This window comes from Homo sapiens, chromosome 9 (assembly GCF_000001405.40).
Source record: "Homo sapiens chromosome 9, GRCh38.p14 Primary Assembly".
Lineage (NCBI taxonomy): Eukaryota > Metazoa > Chordata > Mammalia > Primates > Hominidae > Homo > Homo sapiens.
This window is the reverse complement of record NC_000009.12, coordinates 14375119-14393893: the sequence shown is the minus strand read 5'-3', so window position 1 is coordinate 14393893 and position 18775 is coordinate 14375119. Positions and strand designations below refer to the sequence as shown.

At 40.2% G+C, this 18775-nt stretch overlaps 1 protein-coding gene across 5 annotated transcripts in view, besides 1 other annotated feature; it reads left to right on the top strand.

The window, feature by feature from the left end:
• Window positions 1–18775, top strand: part of NFIB (nuclear factor I B) — a 450235-nt gene that overhangs the window by 138184 nt on the left and 293276 nt on the right. The window lies entirely within an intron of this gene.
• Window positions 8590–8884: a silencer, noted in NCBI's record as "tiled region #5074; HepG2 Repressive non-DNase unmatched - State 21:Repr". NCBI's record gives its function as "represses a minimal TATA promoter and a strong SV40 promoter by Sharpr-MPRA in HepG2 cells {active_cell/tissue: HepG2}" and the evidence as "EXISTENCE:reporter gene assay evidence [ECO:0000049][PMID:27701403]".

Genomic DNA, 18775 nt, shown 5'->3' with positions numbered 1-18775 from the left:
AACTGGCCTTAATAAGAAAAAGAAAAGATGACTGACTCCGATAAACAAACCAGAAGAATTATAATTATACAAAAACAAACCAATAGGAAAATAAGGCAGTCACTAGTGGCATTTATTTTTATTTTTGTTTTATTATCAGTTCTTGGAAATGGTCTCTGCAGACAACTCAGTAAAGCCTATTCGGGAGTGCTCTGCTAAGTGAGATAAATCCTCCTGGTAGGCAAGCTCATTTGAGTGCTTGAGTTAGTTTTTTGGATGACATTCAAATTAGCATCACTTCAATAAATGTTTACTGGGAGTCCTAGATGTGCTGGACTCAGAGCTAAATGTGGAAAAGGTTACCAGGTACAGCAGAGTTGGCTTTAGCCCAGAGGGAGTTAACAAACTAGGAGAGATTACACAGAATGCCTGCAGAAACCTTCAGTATAGGACTGTGCTTCCAGTACTCAAAGCACTCAGAAGAGGGTAACACGACTTCCAATCTGAGTTGGGGGCAGGGTCAAAGAGGCTTAATGAATGAAGTAGAAGGAATGCAAGTTTAAGTAGGAACCAGACATGGAGATATTGTGGTGAGCAGACACCAGATGGTGAAATGTATTTTTTTAGGCCATAGCCAATGTTGCAGTGTGACAAAGATGTTCCAGTGCACTGGGAGGATGTGCAGCACATTTCTGATCATATGACTACAAATTAAATTTGTTGGCTAAGGAGACACGATTGGAAGAAAGTTATTAGAAGGAACATTACCGAGCTCTACACAGAAAGGTGAGAGAGTTTAATAATCCAGAGGCATAATACAATTCATTCCTTGGAGTTTTATCTTAAATACAGAATAATGCTGGAAAAATGATGGTAATGAAAATAGACTTGCCCAGCAAAGATAACAATGATAAGATTCGCAAGACCGTTGATTTGTAAAAACATGAATAAACACTTAAGGTGGTGGAAGTTATCGGATCTTTCTTCAAGTAATATGAGTATTCTGCTTTTGAGATGGATTGCTAAGCAGCTCATGGATTAACCCTGCTTAATAATGCTAACCAATAATAGTTGCCAGGTATTAGCATGTACTATGTGCCAAACGCTGTGCTAAACGCTTTAAGTTTGGTGTTATGAGAATAACCACCCTATGAGGTAACCATTTTTCTTAATAATCTCTTTTTCTTTTTTTTTTTGAGACAAGGTCTTGCTCTGCCACCTTGTTATCATGCAGTGGCACAATCACAGCTCAATGCAGCCTCTGCCCCCTGGGTTCAATAGATCTCAGCGTCCTGAGTAGCTGGGACTACAGGTGTGCACCACCACACCTGAATAATTTTTGTACTTTTTGTAGAGATAGGGTTTCACCATGTTGCCCAGGTCGGTCTCAAACTCCTGGGCTCAAGCAATCCATCAGCCTTGGCCTCCCAAAGTGCTGGGATTATAGGCCTGAGCCACTGTGCCCAGTCTATAATCTTTTTATGTTAGAATAGTTTTAGACTTATACAAAAGTTGTAAAGATAATATAAAGGTTTTCTGTATACCCTCCACTCTGTTGTCCTGATTATTAACATCTTACTTTAGTATGGTACATTTTGTCACAATTCAGAAACCAATGTTGATAGACAATGATCACCTGAAGTCCATCTATATTCAAATTTCTTCATTTTTTTACCTAATACCCTTTTTCTACCCCAGGGTCACATCCAGGATGCCACGTTATATTTAGTCATTATGTCTTCTTTGGCTCCTCTTGGCTGTGGCAGTTTCTCAGACTTTCCTTGTTTTTGATAACCTTGTAAGTTTTGAGGCATATTGGTCAGGTATTGTATAGAATGTTTCTTAATTTAATTTCTCTCATGATTATACCGGGTGATGGGTTTTTGGGAGGAAGTCTGTTACCAGCAGAGAATCCACCTGGGTCTTCAGCAAACTTGATTCTTGTTTCCTTGGAGGAAAGAATTCAGCTGACGGCCAGAAGTAGGTATAAGGCAGAGGGAGGGACTGAGGCCAGTCTTAGAGCAGAAGTGAGTAAACGTTTATTCAAAAGTTTTAGAGCAGGAGTGAAAGGAAGCAAAGTACTCTTGGAAGAGGGCCAAGTAGGCAACTTGAGAGTTCTCAGTGTCCTGTTCAGCCCTGGACTTGGGGTTTTATACATTGGCATGGTTCCAGGGTCTGTGTTTTTTTTCTCCCCTGATTCTTCCCTTGGGGTGGGCTATGCACATGCACAGTGGCCTGTCAGCACTTTGGAGGGGCCACATGCACAGTGTGTTTACTGAAGTTGTACGTGTGCTCACTCGAGGCATTTTTCCCTTACCAGTCCATGGTTCCTGGAGAAAAGTCATATTTCATTTAAATCCTCTTAGTGCACATGCTTGAGCCTGCTCACCCAACTTCTGAGATCTTATCAGGAAGCTGCTGATTACCAGCTTCAGGTGTTTCCTTCCTATCTATTGGGAGACTGCCTTTCCCTGGTACCAGCTCTGACCAACTATTAATTTAGAGAGACAGTTTAAGAACCACCTGATCATCACCTAATGGTCACCTGACATTCCTGGAAGCGGGCGGGGGGTGGGGGGGGGGCATCTCCTGCACTGGTCTTGTCTGCCTAACTACCTACCCTAACAAGACCACAGAGATAAAGTGTCCATCACATCATATAAAGGATTCCTGCTACCATCATGATTTATCACTGATAATATTGAGTTTGAACCAATGACAAGGTAGTATTTGTCAGGTTTCTCCGCTAAAAAGTTACTCTCCTGCTGTCTTCTCTCTATACTTTACTCTTTAAAAGAAAATGTCTAAGCACAGCCCATGCTTAAGGGGTAGGGAGTTATATTCCACCTTTTTGAGGGGAAAGTATCTGTACAAATTGATATTCTTCTGTATGTGAAATGTGTCTATTCCACCCCCCATTTCTTTATATATGCAATCATTTTGTTATATCAGTATGAACTCAAGAAATTTTGTGCTTCACTTTTGGTTATAATCCAAAGTCTTAGTCTGTTTAGGCTACTGTAATAGAATACCATAGACTAGGTGGCTTAAAAACAACAGAAATCTATTTCTTAGAGTTCTGGAGGCCAGGAAGCCCCAGATCAATGTGCCAGCAGATTTGATGTGTGGTGGGGGCCCACTTCTTGGTTCATAGATGGCCATCTTCTCACTGTGTTCTCACATAGAAGAAGAACCGAGGGAGCTCTCTGGATCTTTTTTAAAAAGGCACTGATCCCATTCATGAGGGCTCCACTTTCATAACCTAATAACCTTCCAAAAGCTTCACCTCCAAATAACATCACACAGGGAATTAGGTTTCAACATATGAATTTTGGGAGGACACAAAAATTCAGTCTATTGCATTTAGTACCAAATTTTTAAAAATCAAATTATGACAACTTTGTCTGTTGAGAGCTCTTTTAGTTTACTCTTACACTTGAGTTTACTCTTTTAGTTTACCCTCATATTCCTTTGACATATCAATTTTTTTTAGTCCTTCCTTACTTTCTGGCATTGCAAGATGCTTCAGGCTTCTCTTGTACATTCCTTTCCCCCAAAATTAGCCATTTAGATCTGGGCATCAGGTATGGAAGTATTTTTATTTTCTCCATTTTATATATAAGGAAACTGAAGCTTAGAATGGTAAAGTAATCTGCCCAAGGTCATGCCTTAGAAAACTGTAGGATCCACATAAAACTCAGATCTGTCTGTTGTTATAACTGTGGCATGATTGCTTGCCTTTTTTTCCTTTGGGGGCATCAGTCTGCTTTCCAATGAACTTTAAGTGGTGCTGGAAGTTTTCCTGGTCTGTTGACATATATTGTATTTCAGCATTCCTTTTCTTACTGTCCCTGAGATCAGATTTTGGTAGGGTTTAAGACAATGGCACTTTAGTTAGTAGTTCTAATCTAAAATAAGTATCTTCAGAGGTAGTGCTAAGGTCTGAAAGCGATTTTTCCGTGTTTTGAGAAATCTAATGGAAATCATATGTTTATCCATGACACAACTGCCCAGACTAAGGAGAATGTCACATTTCTTTGATTCTATATCAACTCAATGTGTCTGGCTACATCAGTTATTTCAAACCATTAGAAGCTCTGATTGGTTGATGATGATGTCATAGAAATTTCTGAAGTTGGGAAGGATAATAAAGAGTCTTTGGGGGTGGAAATGCTGGGAAAGGCCACACTGATTACTGTTCTGCTTGTGATCCAACTCTAATTGAGGAGGACCCATTATGAGAGTTGTCTGTGTGTATGGCAGGGAAAGAGTAACTTTTTTGGATATAAAGTAGACATCTATATATTTGGTTTATGTTTTACCAATTTGCTGTAATGTTTTAATGTTCAAAATTCTGGTCCAAGTTACTTTAATTTCTGCTTCGTTTTAGATGCCTGCTTAAAATATTTAAAGTGTACACATTGGAATGATTTTTTTGTATTCTATTTTCTGAAGGAAAAATCTATATCTTAGTATAGATAAGCATATGGATCTATTTAATATGTTCAAAAGCAATGCATATGAATGACTCAGAGCTTAAATTTGTGGTGCTTGGATGAATTGCTTGTTGGGATGGACTCAGAAAGGTGGGAGGAGAAAGGGGGAGGGATGAACAACAACTTAAATGGGAGAGGAGAAACATGTGATTCTAGAAAACAAAAGAATCATGAGCACCAGGAAAAGATAAGTGGTTGTGACAGAAGGAAAGTTCTCAGTGAATATTAACAGGGCCTAACTTCATGTTACACACAATTGTGTTCACATGAAGCCATATGAGGAAACTGCAATTAAAATGTTTAGAAACAGAAAATGTTGTTTGAAAGAAACCTTTGCGATCATCTAATATTGCAGTTCTTGATCCAAAGCTACACACTATGATCACTGGAGAAGCTTTTAAACAATGCAATGTCCAGGCCCCAACCCTTAAGTTTCTGATTTAATTGGTCTCTGATACAGCCCCAGCATGAAAAATTTTAAAAACTTCCTTGTAATTCTAATATACATCCAGGCTTGAAACCATTGATCTAGTTATTCCTGTTTTTTAATTACAAGACATGTCATATACACAAATAGTGAAAATGTATTTTAAAACTATGTATTTACTACCTAGATTGAACACATAAACTTATTGCCACATTTGTTTTATTTTTATTTTTTAAGAAATACAATGTCACAGATATCCTTAGACTTCCTCATCCACTATCAAATCCCACTGCCTCTCCTCCGTTTCCAGAGGCAATTGCTATCTAGAAGTTGGTCATATCCTCCCCATTCATAATTTTTATATGTTTACTATGTAGGTATATAGACTTTTGATGGTTTTAAGGTTTTGTACACTGAGTATCATAGCACATGTATTCTTTTGCATTTTTCCCTCCTTCCCTTCCCTCTCTCCCTCCCTTCCCTCCTTACTTTCTCTCTCTCTCTCTTTCTCTCTCTCTCTCTCTTTTTCTTTCTCTCTTTTTTCTCCCTCTCTCTTTCTCTCTCCTTCCTTCCTTCCTTCCTTCCTTCCTTCCTTCCTTCCTTCCTTCCTTCCTTCCTTCCTTCTTTCTTTCTCTTTTTGAAAAGGTCTCATTCTGTGGCGTCATCACAGCTGACTGCAGCCTCAACCTCCCAGGCTCAATTAATCCTCCCACCCCAGCCTCCTCCATGTAGCTGGGACTACAGGTGCATACCACCACACCTGGCTGCATTTTTCTTTTCTTACTGAACATTATGCTTTTGCAACTCATCCTTGTAATTCAAGCTATTAATATTAACTGTAGTATCCTATAATACTTTTATGCATTCCCTTACTGATGGGCATCTAAGTTGTTTTTCTCATTTTGTTTTGCTTGGCTTTTGGTATGATAAAAATACTGTGGTACACATTTTTGTACATCTTCTTGAGCACACAGAAATAAGCTTCTCTAGGGCAGAGCTTATATACAATTCTGTATAGCAGTGCCTCACAGTTGGGTAGAAGAAGTGGGACCTGAGGTGACCACAGCCCCCTAAATGGGCACCTCCTGCTATGAGCAGCCTCCTCGGCTTACCCCACTGTGCTCTATGAGTATTATCTTTCTCTATGTGTGTCATAATGGGGAAATTGGAAAATACTGCCCCAAGAAATAACCTAGAAGTGGCCATCCTGTGTCGTAGAGTAAGCACACTTAATTAACTCTGTAAGTATTGCTAAAATATTCTAAGAATTATTGTACCAATCCCCATGCCTACCTTGTCAGACTGGAAAATTTTTTGCTGGTCTGATAGATGTGAAATGATATCTTGTCTTAATTTGCATTTTCCTAATAAGTTAGAAAGTCTTTTCATATGTTTACTGGCATATGTTTATAGCTTATGAATCCTCAATTTCTATCCTTTGCTCATTTTTCCATTGAGTTGTTTGTTTCTTCTTCTCACTGATTTTTAATGACTGTATGTATTCTGGATGCTAATATTGTGTAGGTTATATGCATTGCAAATATTTTACTCCAATACCTGGCTTACATTTAACTTTATTTTAGAATCACTTTTCTCAAAAGCTTTTAATTTTTAGTTATGTTTCAAGTGGAGAAATGTGAGGCTCATGGTTGCATAGTAATAATATTTTAGTACCAAATGATGTCACCGTGCTTGCTACTCTAAAGCAGTACAGCAAGATTGAAAAGAACACTCGTCTGAACCCAAGATTTCACAGGTCTTCTATATCTGCTTCTAATAGTTACTGGCAAAAGCCAGTATAAAAAATAATTTGTTGATGTTGGTTACTTAATTACCTGATTAAACTGACACACAGTGATGAACAGTTAGTCACCTAACCCCAAGTCATACACCTTTTTAGTGCCAAAGCTGTCAGAATCTCACACCATTTCCCAAAGTTTGCTGTGTGGAACCCTAGTCCTTGAAAAGCATTCTGTGGTCAGTTTCATTTTACATTTTTTCTCCTCTTAAAATTTCAGAGTTTACAGTGTGATATTAAAAGTTCTGTTAAGTCTTGCAATTAAAAATGCAACCGACTTTCCTTTAATGAGCATTTTCTAAACATATTTGTCTGTGGAACCCTCCTTTGCTATGGAGCACCTAATAACACACCAAGGAGCTGATATTCTATGGAATGGACTTTGAGAATTTCTACATTTAAAAATATTCCCCTCCAGTCTCCAAGGCTGTCTTCCCCTGGGCTGGTACTTTGTCTATACAATCTAATAAATATATAAAAATAGAAGCACTAACATTCATCATACTGAACTTTAAACACTGGCATATAGTAAAGAGATTCCACTGGCTTAAAGCAGAAATAATAACACTGATTGATTTTGTCCCCTAAGAGGCTCTCATGAGTTCCTCTGTGAGAATGCATGATAAAAATATTTCTCCCCCCTTTATGAGCATCTCTTAAATAATGTGGGAATTATTGTGGTGCTTGGTATTATGATCAATTCTTGGGTCCTGTAGCGTAAGATAGTGCTCTTCAGAAGGGTGTGTCACTCACCTGAGGACCTGGAGTCCTAAGGCAGGAGACAGGACCTTCGAAGTTGGACTTTTGCTAGGGGCAGAGTTTCTTGATGGACTCTGTTCTTTTGGGTTCAGAATTTAAGAAACTAACTCATCCAAGCATATGCTCCTAAGTTGTGGGTACTAAGATATTTGGGAACTTAGGCTTTCAAGCTCTGGAGAGCAAGGTATCCTTATGAGTCAGGAGTAGGAGGGAGATGTTTGCTACATATATTATGCTACATTTAAATTTTGGACAAGTGTATGTAATATATACTCAAAAACCTAATGAAATTATTAATGAATGACTAGATTTCATCTAATGATTCAGCACATTTATCAAAATTCCACCGTGTCACCGAGTGTGGTGGCTCATGTCTGTAATTCCAGCACTTTGGGAGGCCAAGGTGGGTAGATCACCTGAGGTCAGGAGTTTGAGACCAGCCTGGAAAACATGGCGAAACCCTGTCTCTACTGAACATACAAAAATTAGCTGGGTGCCGTGGAACATGCCTGTAATCCTAACTACTCAAAAGGCTGAGACAGGAGAATCACTTGAACCCGGGAAATGGAGGTTTCAGTGAGCTGAGATTGCACCACTGCACTCCAGCCTGGGAAACAGAGAAACACTCTGTTTCAAAAAAAAAAAAAAAAGATTCCACTGTGTCTCTGATCCCATATTAGAAATGATGACAACCATAAAAGTAGAAAATACCTGTGAAGAAGTGATTTATAAAAGATTACAAATATATAAATTGTGCTCATGCTCAGAAAAATGGCAAGAAGGCTGTATACCTAAATGTTAACTGTGGTGGTCTCTGAGTTGCTAGGAATATTGGTGGGTTTTTTTCCTTCCTTCTAAGTAAGAATTGTCTGTGTTATTCATATTAACATATGCGACATTTCAAATGCTTTTTAAAAGTTAATTTTATGTTTAGATGTATAAGAAAAATATTTGTATGTAGGTATGCCAGGTGCAGAGATAATTTTACAAATAATATGTGTTTTGCAAAGGCCTCCCAACCCCCTCTGTATGATGGCTGTATCATCTATAATAACTGGCCACAAATTTTCACTTTAATAGTTAGAAGAAGGCAGTTTGAAAGTTAGTGATATCCACAAGGTTTGTAAATAGATGGACTGTGGGGCTTGGGTCCCAAGTTTGCCAGTTACTATGCGGCCTGATCTTGGTTAAGTTCCTTAGCCTCTCTGAACTTTAGTTTCCTCATCGGCTGAGTGGGTGAAATAATGACACAAACCCCCACAGGAGTTTTGTGAGGATGAGATAAGAATCCATCAAAGCCCTGAGCCCAGTGGCTAGCACATAGTGAGCCCTGAGGATTGTTAGCTCTTGCTAGGAGTTTGAGTCCAAGAACTTTAGCTAAGTTGGAGCGAATGCCTCATATTTGATACAGACAAATCAGCAAGCCTATGTACTTACAGAGGCTACTTACCTGAAAATCAAGATGTGAACTGGCTTTGGAGAGTGAAGTACTGTAAAATACTCAAGAGAAGGGTTAACATTTTTTTTTCTACAGTAAGATTTAGGAAAAAGAGAAGGTGAAAATCAATCAAACAATCTTGGATGCAAGGTGTAGTGTGACCTGTGGGAAGGAGATAAATGCAAGGACTGTAAAGCTACTGATCAGACAAAACGAAAAGGGTATGAAAGAGAGGGTTTGATACCAGGCCATGAATAGAATTTCAGGAAAATGAATGATGGTATGGGATTACCATGTTATAAATCAATGAGGTGACTGAGATCATATCATCAACCAGAAGAACAAAATTCAAATAGATATTAATGACACCTGACCTTGGATATTAACCTTCAACGTAGTCATTTGTAATGTAAAATCCCTGGTTGGACAATCTACTCTATTACCATATGGTTCTTTTTTTGAGAGGAGGAAGTAGCAAGGATCAGGTTTGGAAAGGAGAAAAATAAAAGCAATTTAAAACAGGACATTTGGGCTTTGAAGGCAAAGGGGTTTGGAAAGGTTCGAAAGTGCTGAGGCTGAGCTATCAAGTATCATGGTGGTGTCAGGTTTGTTTTCTGGGAAATATTTGAACTAATTTTATCGCAGCATTTCTCTCAGGCTGTTTACTACCTGAATATTTGTCAAGGCCTCTAGAGGAGAGAGCCAAATATGTACATCTGAAATTCTTTCTATTTGGAGCACAACTTGGGTGGGGAAGGCTCTCTTGTAACAGGGGTGGGGAGCTGACAGTAGATGTTGCTGCGAGAAAGATGAGATTTCGGGAGCTGTCATCAGGATTGCGACTTCTGGTTGCAGTCGATATTTTTCCAAATGCCAACCACACAAGGATTTAAAAGAAGGTGCAAAGAAGCATGTGGCGTGCTCCTCATGAAGCAAGAGCGGGCTAAGTGGCTCGCTTAAGCATCACGCCCCCCAGCCAATCACGAGCCTGGGCACCCCGGCCTTTTCTCTGCAAGGCCTTGGCCACATGCCCTCCTATACAATTGTGAGGAGATTGGATGAAACACGATGGTATTTAAAGCGCTCTTCCATGGCGCTCTTGCAGTTGTAAGATTTCCCAAGAGGCAGTTGCCAAGATTATGTTCTTTCCCACTGACTTTTAATTTGTAAATTGTAATGGGCTCCCCTTTAGATATGGCGATATAGTTTGCATTCCACAAGGTGGCCAGAGAAGAGATGATCCCATGTAAATCTTCAGAGTACGCTCTCTGCCATGATGAAAGGTGCAGGAAAACACAAAGTGATCAAATTCTCTTATGGTCGGGCATGATGCTTGCAGAAACTCTGGTCTTAAAAGAGATCTGTTATCAACTATGTTCTTAACAGAACTTGAAAAAGAATCACATAATTTTGCTTAAAAGTAAACCACCCTTATAAAGGAAGAGGAAACAAATCAACCACTGGACCATGTTTCTCTTTATATTTTTACCCACACTCATCATGCAAACCATGCTGGCAGGTTTCCCAGATTCTTAGCACCGCCTTGACACTCTTTTCTCTCCTCCTGGTGTAACAGCCCTATTTGAATTATTAATTCTAGAATACCTCCTTCCTTTCAACCCAGGAGGCAAACAGATCCACCCTTTCTGGGCACCAAAAATATAATCAATAGTGTACTAGGATATACCTGTATTTCAGTATCTGGGCCCTCAAACAAGGAGTTTAATTTGAGAGTTACTCAATAACTGTCCTATGAATAAAGCTGTAAACAGACTAACTAAGCAGTTAAACTTCACATATTAGATAATTTGCAGCTATTTCTCATTGAATTTGCTACCGAGCTTTCTTTATTAAACTGTAGGTAAGAGTTTCAAAGACAGAGTGAACCTATTACCTTTCATTTTCAATTTTTTGTCATATTCCTTTGGCCTAATAATCCTTCTCTTAAGAGTTCCACACTGGTTTTATTGAGGCCAAGGATAAGCTGATATTAGTTAGCTACTTCTCTCCAAATTGTGCTGTATTCTGTTGGGAGGCTTCCAGATACCCAGCCTGAGAAACTCAATATTCAAGACATCTAGTATCACCAGGATGGTTTTTTCTGCAAAAGCTTCTACCATCCCTTGCTTTATTTGCTTGCTTTTTCTTCCTGGACTTTCATTCTCTATGTGTTGCATTTTTCTAGTAGTGCAGCTACAGTTCATTTATTCCAATCATCTTTCTTGATGTGTAATAGTCCCTTGGGTGAATATATGACTTTTTTTGGTTATCCTATTGATAGACACATGTTGGTTGCATTTGGGGGCTGTTACAAACAGTGCTGCTAGGAGCTTCCTTGCACACGTAACCTGCTACCCTCGTGCAAGAGCTTATTGAGGATTTTTACTGAGGGTGTGCCTGTCTTACTAGATAATGCCAAACTATTTTCCAAAATGGTAGTTCCAAACAATTCCCTATTGAGCCAGGCTGCATGTCAGGCTCTGAGCTGGCCCTGTGGCCAGCAAAATATAGTCACCTCTCTCCCCTGACACTGCAACAGTACTTACTTATATTCTACTGGGAAGAGTGGATCGGTCATCTTCCAAATAAATAAGAACCACAAATGGACAGACTCCTATCTCCCTCTCTCTCCCTCTCTCTCTCTCTCTCTCATCACTTTCTGCCTCCCTGGTGCCGTCAACAATTGTACAGAAGCTGCACATTCCTTGCTGTGTTCTCAAACATGAGCTAGTTATTCATCCACTCGTCAAGAAGCCTCTTCTTTGCTTCGAAAAGAATTGCCTTCCAGAGGGTATCTCCAAGACTTTATAACTTTTTTAGGAAGCTAACTCAACAATTCAGCTAGTAGTGACTGGGTACCTACTAGAGGCCAGTTGCCTTTTTGTCTGCCCTCAGGGACCTTAGATTTTAATGGGAGAGACAAGCTAGTCGAAAGCAAACTACAAGGGCCTATTTTAACTTCCCTCTTAAAAAACAAACCAACAAACAAATTCTCAGGTTTTTAGCATTTTTTCCAGCTAAGCCAGACCTGAAAGGCTGGTGCTTTATGCAAACATCTTGGTACCACTCTCTTAGTTGCCCTCTGTAAGGGACTTGAATTAGGAGCACTCAAAACGTTTCACCCTTATTCATTCATTCAACCGATATTTTTGTGAGTGGCTGCTATGTGCAAGGCACGGTTCTGGTACCCTGCCCTTTCAGAGCTTACATTCTAGTAAACGTGAATTTCCACTGGGTTCTTTCATTGCTTCTCCAGATACTGTTCTTGCCTGATGTTGCCTTAATTGCCCCAAATCCCAATTATATTATTGGCCTGTCCTAGGCCGTAGGTAAAAAAATTTCTTCTTCCACACAGTGCACACTTGCTCTTAGTCACAAAATGACACCAGCTGCCTGGATGTATTTGCATCATGTATGTCTATGACTTCCTTAGAATTCCCAGACATTGGTCCAAAGTAATGATAATTACTATTTAAAAAATCGTTACAGTTTAGAAAATGCTTTTCAGGCAAGTGTGGTGGCTCACACCTGTAATCCTAGCACTTTGGGAGGCTGAGACAACCAGATCACTTGAGCCCAGGAGTTCAAGACCAACCTAGGCAACATGGTAAAACCCCGTCTCTACAAAAATTAAAAAATTAGCTGGGCATGGTGGCATATGCCTATGGTCTCAGCTCTTCAGGAGGCTGAGGTGGGAGGATTGCTTGAGCCCAGGAGGTGGAGGTTGCAATAAGCCAAGACTGCACCACTGCACTCCAGCCTGGGCGACAGAGGGAGACTCTGTCTCAAAAAGAAAAAAGAAAAAGAAAGAAACACAAGAAAATGCTTTTTGCATCCATGATGGTGTACAGATTCACACCAAATACAGAAGGTATACAAATAGGCATTATTATAATTATCTTTTTTTTTTTTTTTTTTTTTTTGAGACGGAGTCTCGCTCTGTTGCCCAGGCTGGAGTGCAGTGGCGCGATCTCGGCTCACTGCAACATTTGCCTCCCGGAACAGGAAATCAGATGAACAATGAAGGAGGAAAATTTAAGGTTAGGGAACAGGGGCCTCCACTCAGTATGGAGGAGATCTGAGTGCTGGAAGAACAGATGAGGTGAATTAGTGACAGCACCTAGCTTCTACCACCTTTAGTTCGAATCCCTGCTTGGCCCCTTCCTGGTTGTGTGGCTTTGTGCAGTCACTGAGACTCTTTTTAGAAGAAACAGGGATGGCAATAGCTCCTCTGCAGAGTGATTGTGTGGATGAGAGATCATGTATAAAAAGCACCATGCTCCTGGTCATTGCTACTCTCCAAAATAGTTTAATGTGCTGGCATAAGGATAGAGGCGGGGGGTGTCCAGGCAAGATAAGAACAACATTTTTTTTGGATTTATTAGACAGCTGCTTCCTGTAATTTGTTATCATAAATGAAGAGCTTGCTCTAATCATTTCCCATGTATACTCAGTGTTCTTGACTCTAGGAGGATTATGTGACTTCCTTGTTTTCTATATGGATAAATTCGGAATTGATGCAAAGTGAATGAAGACATTTCCCTTTAGTTTTAACCTGTGCCGATACATTTTTCTATTTACATCACCATTTTATTGGGCCAAATTCTGGTGAAAGTATTAGGCAAGCATCAGTCCTAGTTTGTTTTTACATTTTGCCTTTAGCCCTCAGCTCTGAATTCCCCTTTTGTAAACCCCTTCATCACCTCAGTGATTGTGGTTGAACTGGCTTTCCCTTGCTTCCATGGAGCTTCTCATGGTGGAAGACCCAGAAGCATTGCAGACCTTGGTAAAAGGGAGTTTTTGTGGTGCTGCCTGTCATTCAGAATTTTCCACTAACTTGTAGTAGCAGCAGAGGTGAGTCTATTTATTGGATTGAGTCCATTATTTTAAATGTGTTTAGAAAATTGTATATTATTTGAATAAGAAGTAATGGCAGAAGCCAGAAATATTCCTATATCCTGTTCCCAAAGGGTCAAATGAGACTTTGTTTTCTTCAATTAAAAAAAAAAAATCTGACTGGGTGCGGTGGCTCACACCTGTAATCCCAGTACTTTGGGAGGCTGAAGTGGGCGGATCACCTGAGGTCAGGAGTTCGAGACCAGCCTGGCCAACATGGTGAAACCCCGTCTCTACTAAAAATACAAAAACTAGCTGGGTGTGGTGGCAGGCACCTGTAATTCCAGCTACTCGGGAGGCTGAGGTAGGAGAATTGCTTGAACCCGGGAGGCGGAGGTTGCAGTGAGCCAAGATTATGCCATTGCACTCCAGCCTGGGCGACAAGAGCAAAACTCCATCTCCAAAAATAAATAAATAAATAAATAAAATCTGATAACCTAAGAAGAAAAAGAAGGAAATTCTGCAGTGTGATTGTAAATTAAGCTCTCTTGTAACCCTCTCATGCAGAGCCAAAGTGACGATATAATACCACAGTGACATAAGGACTTTGAGATCCTTATGAGTCAGGTTATTTACAAAACATTATTCTTATTTTCGTTAAAATAGCGAGTAAGTGGGGGAATTTTCACCTGCATTCGGATCTTACAGCACACCACAAATAGTCTTTTATGTCTCAGCTGGTGAAACCATAAAGAGGTTGTTATTTTACACAGCAGCTTTTCACAGAAACATAATTCAATTTTAAGAAAATGAATATGAAGTAAAATACCTGTTCCTGCTCTTTCAATAGCTCTGTCTTTCCACTCCCACTCCTGCTCAGTCAAGCTTCCTTTATCCTTCCCTAAAAGGCCTCAGGAGTTTCAGGTTGTCTCAGCAAACAATTGTCATTCATTGTTTGGTATTAGAAACAGAGTCATGAAGGGACGATATGGGGTGAAGTAATAAATGTAGAAAGAGAGATACACCAGATGGTAAGATATGCTGAGAGGTGATTGGTTATAAGTTCTGAGCCCTCTCTTTGAGGTAATTCCATCATCAACAGGTTGTGAATACCTGTGAACTCTGCTTGTGTAATACAGATAGCAACAATGCGTGCCTCTCTATCATCTCAAATGCCTTTCTTCTTTGTTAATTGTGGGAGGCTTCCATCCTTCTCAATGTTACTGAACTTTAAAAATTTTTCACATCAAAACCAAGGTCAAATCAAATCAGAAGTACAAGGTGCTGCTGTGTTTTCAAACTACACCCTGATTTATCTCTTCTGTAGGGCCGGAGGGTGGGCAGGGATGGGATAGGTCCCTCCAGGTAACAATCACGGTCCTATGCTTACCTCATTTTTTTCTTCTTAAGTGGCTGTACCATGACCCATTTTTGCAGATGATGCCTGTTCACCTAAACAAACCCTAATCAATAACATTTTGTGCTGTGTAAGAATAAAGTAATTGGGGCTGGGTGTGGTGGCTCACGCCTGTAATCCCAACACTTTGGGAGGCCCATGCGGGTGGATTGCAAGGTCAGGAGATTGAGTCCATCCTGGCCGATATGGTGAAACCCCGTCTCTACTAAAAATACAAAAACTAGCTGGGCGTGGTGGCGCGTGCCTATAGTCCCAGCTACTCAGGAGGCTGAGGCAGGAGAATCGCTTGAACCCGGGAGGCGGAGGTTGCAGTGAGCCAAAATTGCGCCACTGCACTCCAGCCTGGTGACAGAGCGAGACTCCATCTCAAAACAAAAAAAGAACGAAAGAAAGAAAAGAATAAAGTAGTTGGAAGGAGGGATGTGAAAATAATAAGTAATATAAATAGCTGCATTTATTGAGCCCTACATATGAACCAGATATTGAGCCTAAATATGAACCAGATAAATCTCTCACGTGCATTCCTTTATGAAATGTTTATAATACCATTCTGAAGCAATTATTATTCCCTTTGGAAAGCAGAGGAAACTGAGGAAAACAGTAGTTAATTAACTTAATCAGATCATGCCACTCATAAAAATGTGAGCCAATGTCTCATCCAGACAAGCCCCCACCCTCAGCTGGTGTGGAGCACCTTTGTAATCCTTTCAGCTGATCCTAGCTAGTTAATCTGTCCATTAGTTACTACTAGAGTGATCACTACTAGAGTGATCACAGATTTGTCATCCAAACTGGGACCACTTTGAGGATGAAAGTGGGGACTATTAAAAACTATCATAGGAAAATAGGCGTAAGTGGGGATTGTCTTAGGGAAATTCAGAAGTTCTTTTTAAATTATTTTCTTTTATTCAGGCTTTCACCTCCGCTTCTTCCCAAAGAAAAGAAGAGAGAAGTTTCAAAGGATATCTATAACCCAGTCTACATTTGGGGCCTGGGCACAGCTAGCTATTAGGTCAATAGAGTTCCAGGTCAATCCACCCTTTTCCTTCCTCTTAAAATTTTCCTTTATAAGCCCTAGGCTGCTATAACCTTCACAATAAAATATTGAAACAAAATGCTCCGTCTTTCAAAAATACAGTATTCTCTTCCCCTACCAAAAGCTTCTACTTTAACAGAGTCTTTTCTTTTAATGTACTGGGTATAGGTGCTGATGAAAAGCATTCTCCAGGCCAGGCACGGTGGCTCTTGCCTGTAATCCTAGCACTTTGGGAGACTGAGGCAGGAGATGACTTGAGGTCAGGAATAGAGACAAGCATAGACAATAGAGCAAGACCCCATTTCTAGGAAAAATAAAAGAAAAAATAGCCAGGTGTGGTGGTGTGCACTTGTAGTCCTGGCTACTCAGAAGGCTGAGGCGTAAGGATTAATCCAGGAGTTTGAGGCTGGAGTGAGCTTTGATCATCCCATTGCACCCCAGTCTTGGGAACAGAGTGAGACTCTGTCTTTAAATGGCACATAATAATACACACACTACATGCTCATTTGGGTGAAACAAAAGAATTTTTATATATTTGCATTGTGGGTATGTGTATGTGTGTTAACACTTGTGTATACTTAAGCATGCAGAGTATATCTCTTCAATAATACCCACAAACCGTTTACTTATTATTGCTTCATGGAGGGAAAGAATCTCAGAATTTGGGGTGAAAGGTGATTTATTTTATACAGTATATCTTTTTGGTCAGATTGAAATTTTGGCCTTGAGTATATTTTATTTCTCAAATGAGAAGAAAAACTAGACAGATAAACACCTTCCATGCAGTGAAGTTGTATCATTGTAGGAAGGCAATCTGATTAAAGTAAGTGACACAGATTTTTGAATGAGTAATAACTTTCTCTCTTTTTTTAAAAAAAATGGCACTTTTAAGCCAGGCGCAGTGGCTCATGCCTGTAATCCCAGCACCTTGGGAGGCTGAGGTGAGCGGATCACCTGAGGTCAGGAATTTGAGATCAGCCTGGCCAACATGGTGAAACCCTGTCTCTACCCAAAAATATAAAAATCAGCTGGGCGTGGTAGCTTCCATCTGTAATCCCAGCTACTGGGGAGGTTGACGGAGGAGAATCACTTGAACCTGGGAGGCGGAGGTTGCAATGAGCAGAGATCATGCCACTGCACTCCACCCTGAACGACAGAGTGAAACCCTGTATCAAAAAAAAAAAAAAAATGACACTTTTAGAAGTGCTCTTTAACCAGTGGAATGTTAAGCAGTATGAAAGAGAGAAGTGAAGATATTCAAGCAGTGAAGATATTTGAGGGTACAGTGGTCATCCCTGCAGGAAATAGTGTCTTCTAAGTTGAAGCTACTCTTTACTATTTCTTCCTTTTTTCATTTATAAGCCCACAAATATTCCAAAATGTTAACTTTTTTAAAAATTATGTTTAAAACATGATTGTAAGCTCCAACAGTAATGTGGAATTTTCTGCTCTTTAGTTATGCACACAAAAAGTTCCATAGCTTAAACTGAACATGGTGGCATCCCTGTAGTCCCAGCCATTTGGGAGGCTGAAGTGGGAGGATCACTTGAGCCCAGGAGTTTAAGACTGTAGTGTGCTATGGTCATGCCTGTGCATAGCCACTGCCCTCCAGCCTGGACAACTTAGCAAGACCCATCTCTTTTTTTAAAAAGTTCCATAGCTTAAACTACTCAAATGAAGAAACAATCAGTGATGTGTGAAAGTATTTATTTTGGCCATGTACTCTGAGATAATGCACAGCAGACTGGGTTCTCAAGCTAGTGCCTTAAACACCACATAATTCAAACGGAAGCAGTGAATAAGCCTTGGATGATGTATCAGCTCTAAGGATGTTATATGTGAGTATGACAAGGACTTTTAATTTCCCATCCCATACTTGCTCTTCTGTTATTACTAGTAACAGAACTCTGACTTCATTTGGGACAGTAATTTTTCCTCTTAAAAGATTCCCTTACCAGGTTCCCTTGCAGCTAAGTGTGGCCGTGTGTCAAAGGTCTGACCAATGAGCTGTAAGTGAAAATGTTCCCAGGTTTTTCTTTTTTTTTTTTGAGATGGAGTTTTTGCTCTTTTTGCCCAGGCTAGAGTGCAGTGGTGCAATCTCAGCTCACTGCAACCTCCACCTTCCGGTTTCAAGCGATTCTTCTGCCTCGGCCTCCCAAGTCGCTGGGATTGCAGGTGCCCACCTCCACGCCCAGATAATTTGTTTGTATTTTTAGTAGAGACGGGGTTTCACCATGTTGGTCAGGCTGGTCTCGAACTGCTGACCTTGTGATCCACCCACCTTGGCCTCCCAAAGTGCTGGGATTACAGGCATGAGCCACTGCACCTGGCCCTGTCCCCAGGTACTTCTGGAGAAGCTCCTTAAAAGGAACTAACTAAGCTAGGAGGGGTTCTCATTTTGCCTTCCTCTTTTCCTTTTTCATGATTGGAGAGAATAAATGATAACTAGAGGGATATCATGGCCTAAGACTGGAAGAGCAGAGAGATAGAAAGAGCCTAGGGCTCTGATGACTCTGAGGAACCACTATATGAGCCCTGTGCATCCAGAGGTAGAGTTTCTCTTATGTTGGGAATAAGTCTTGGATGTTT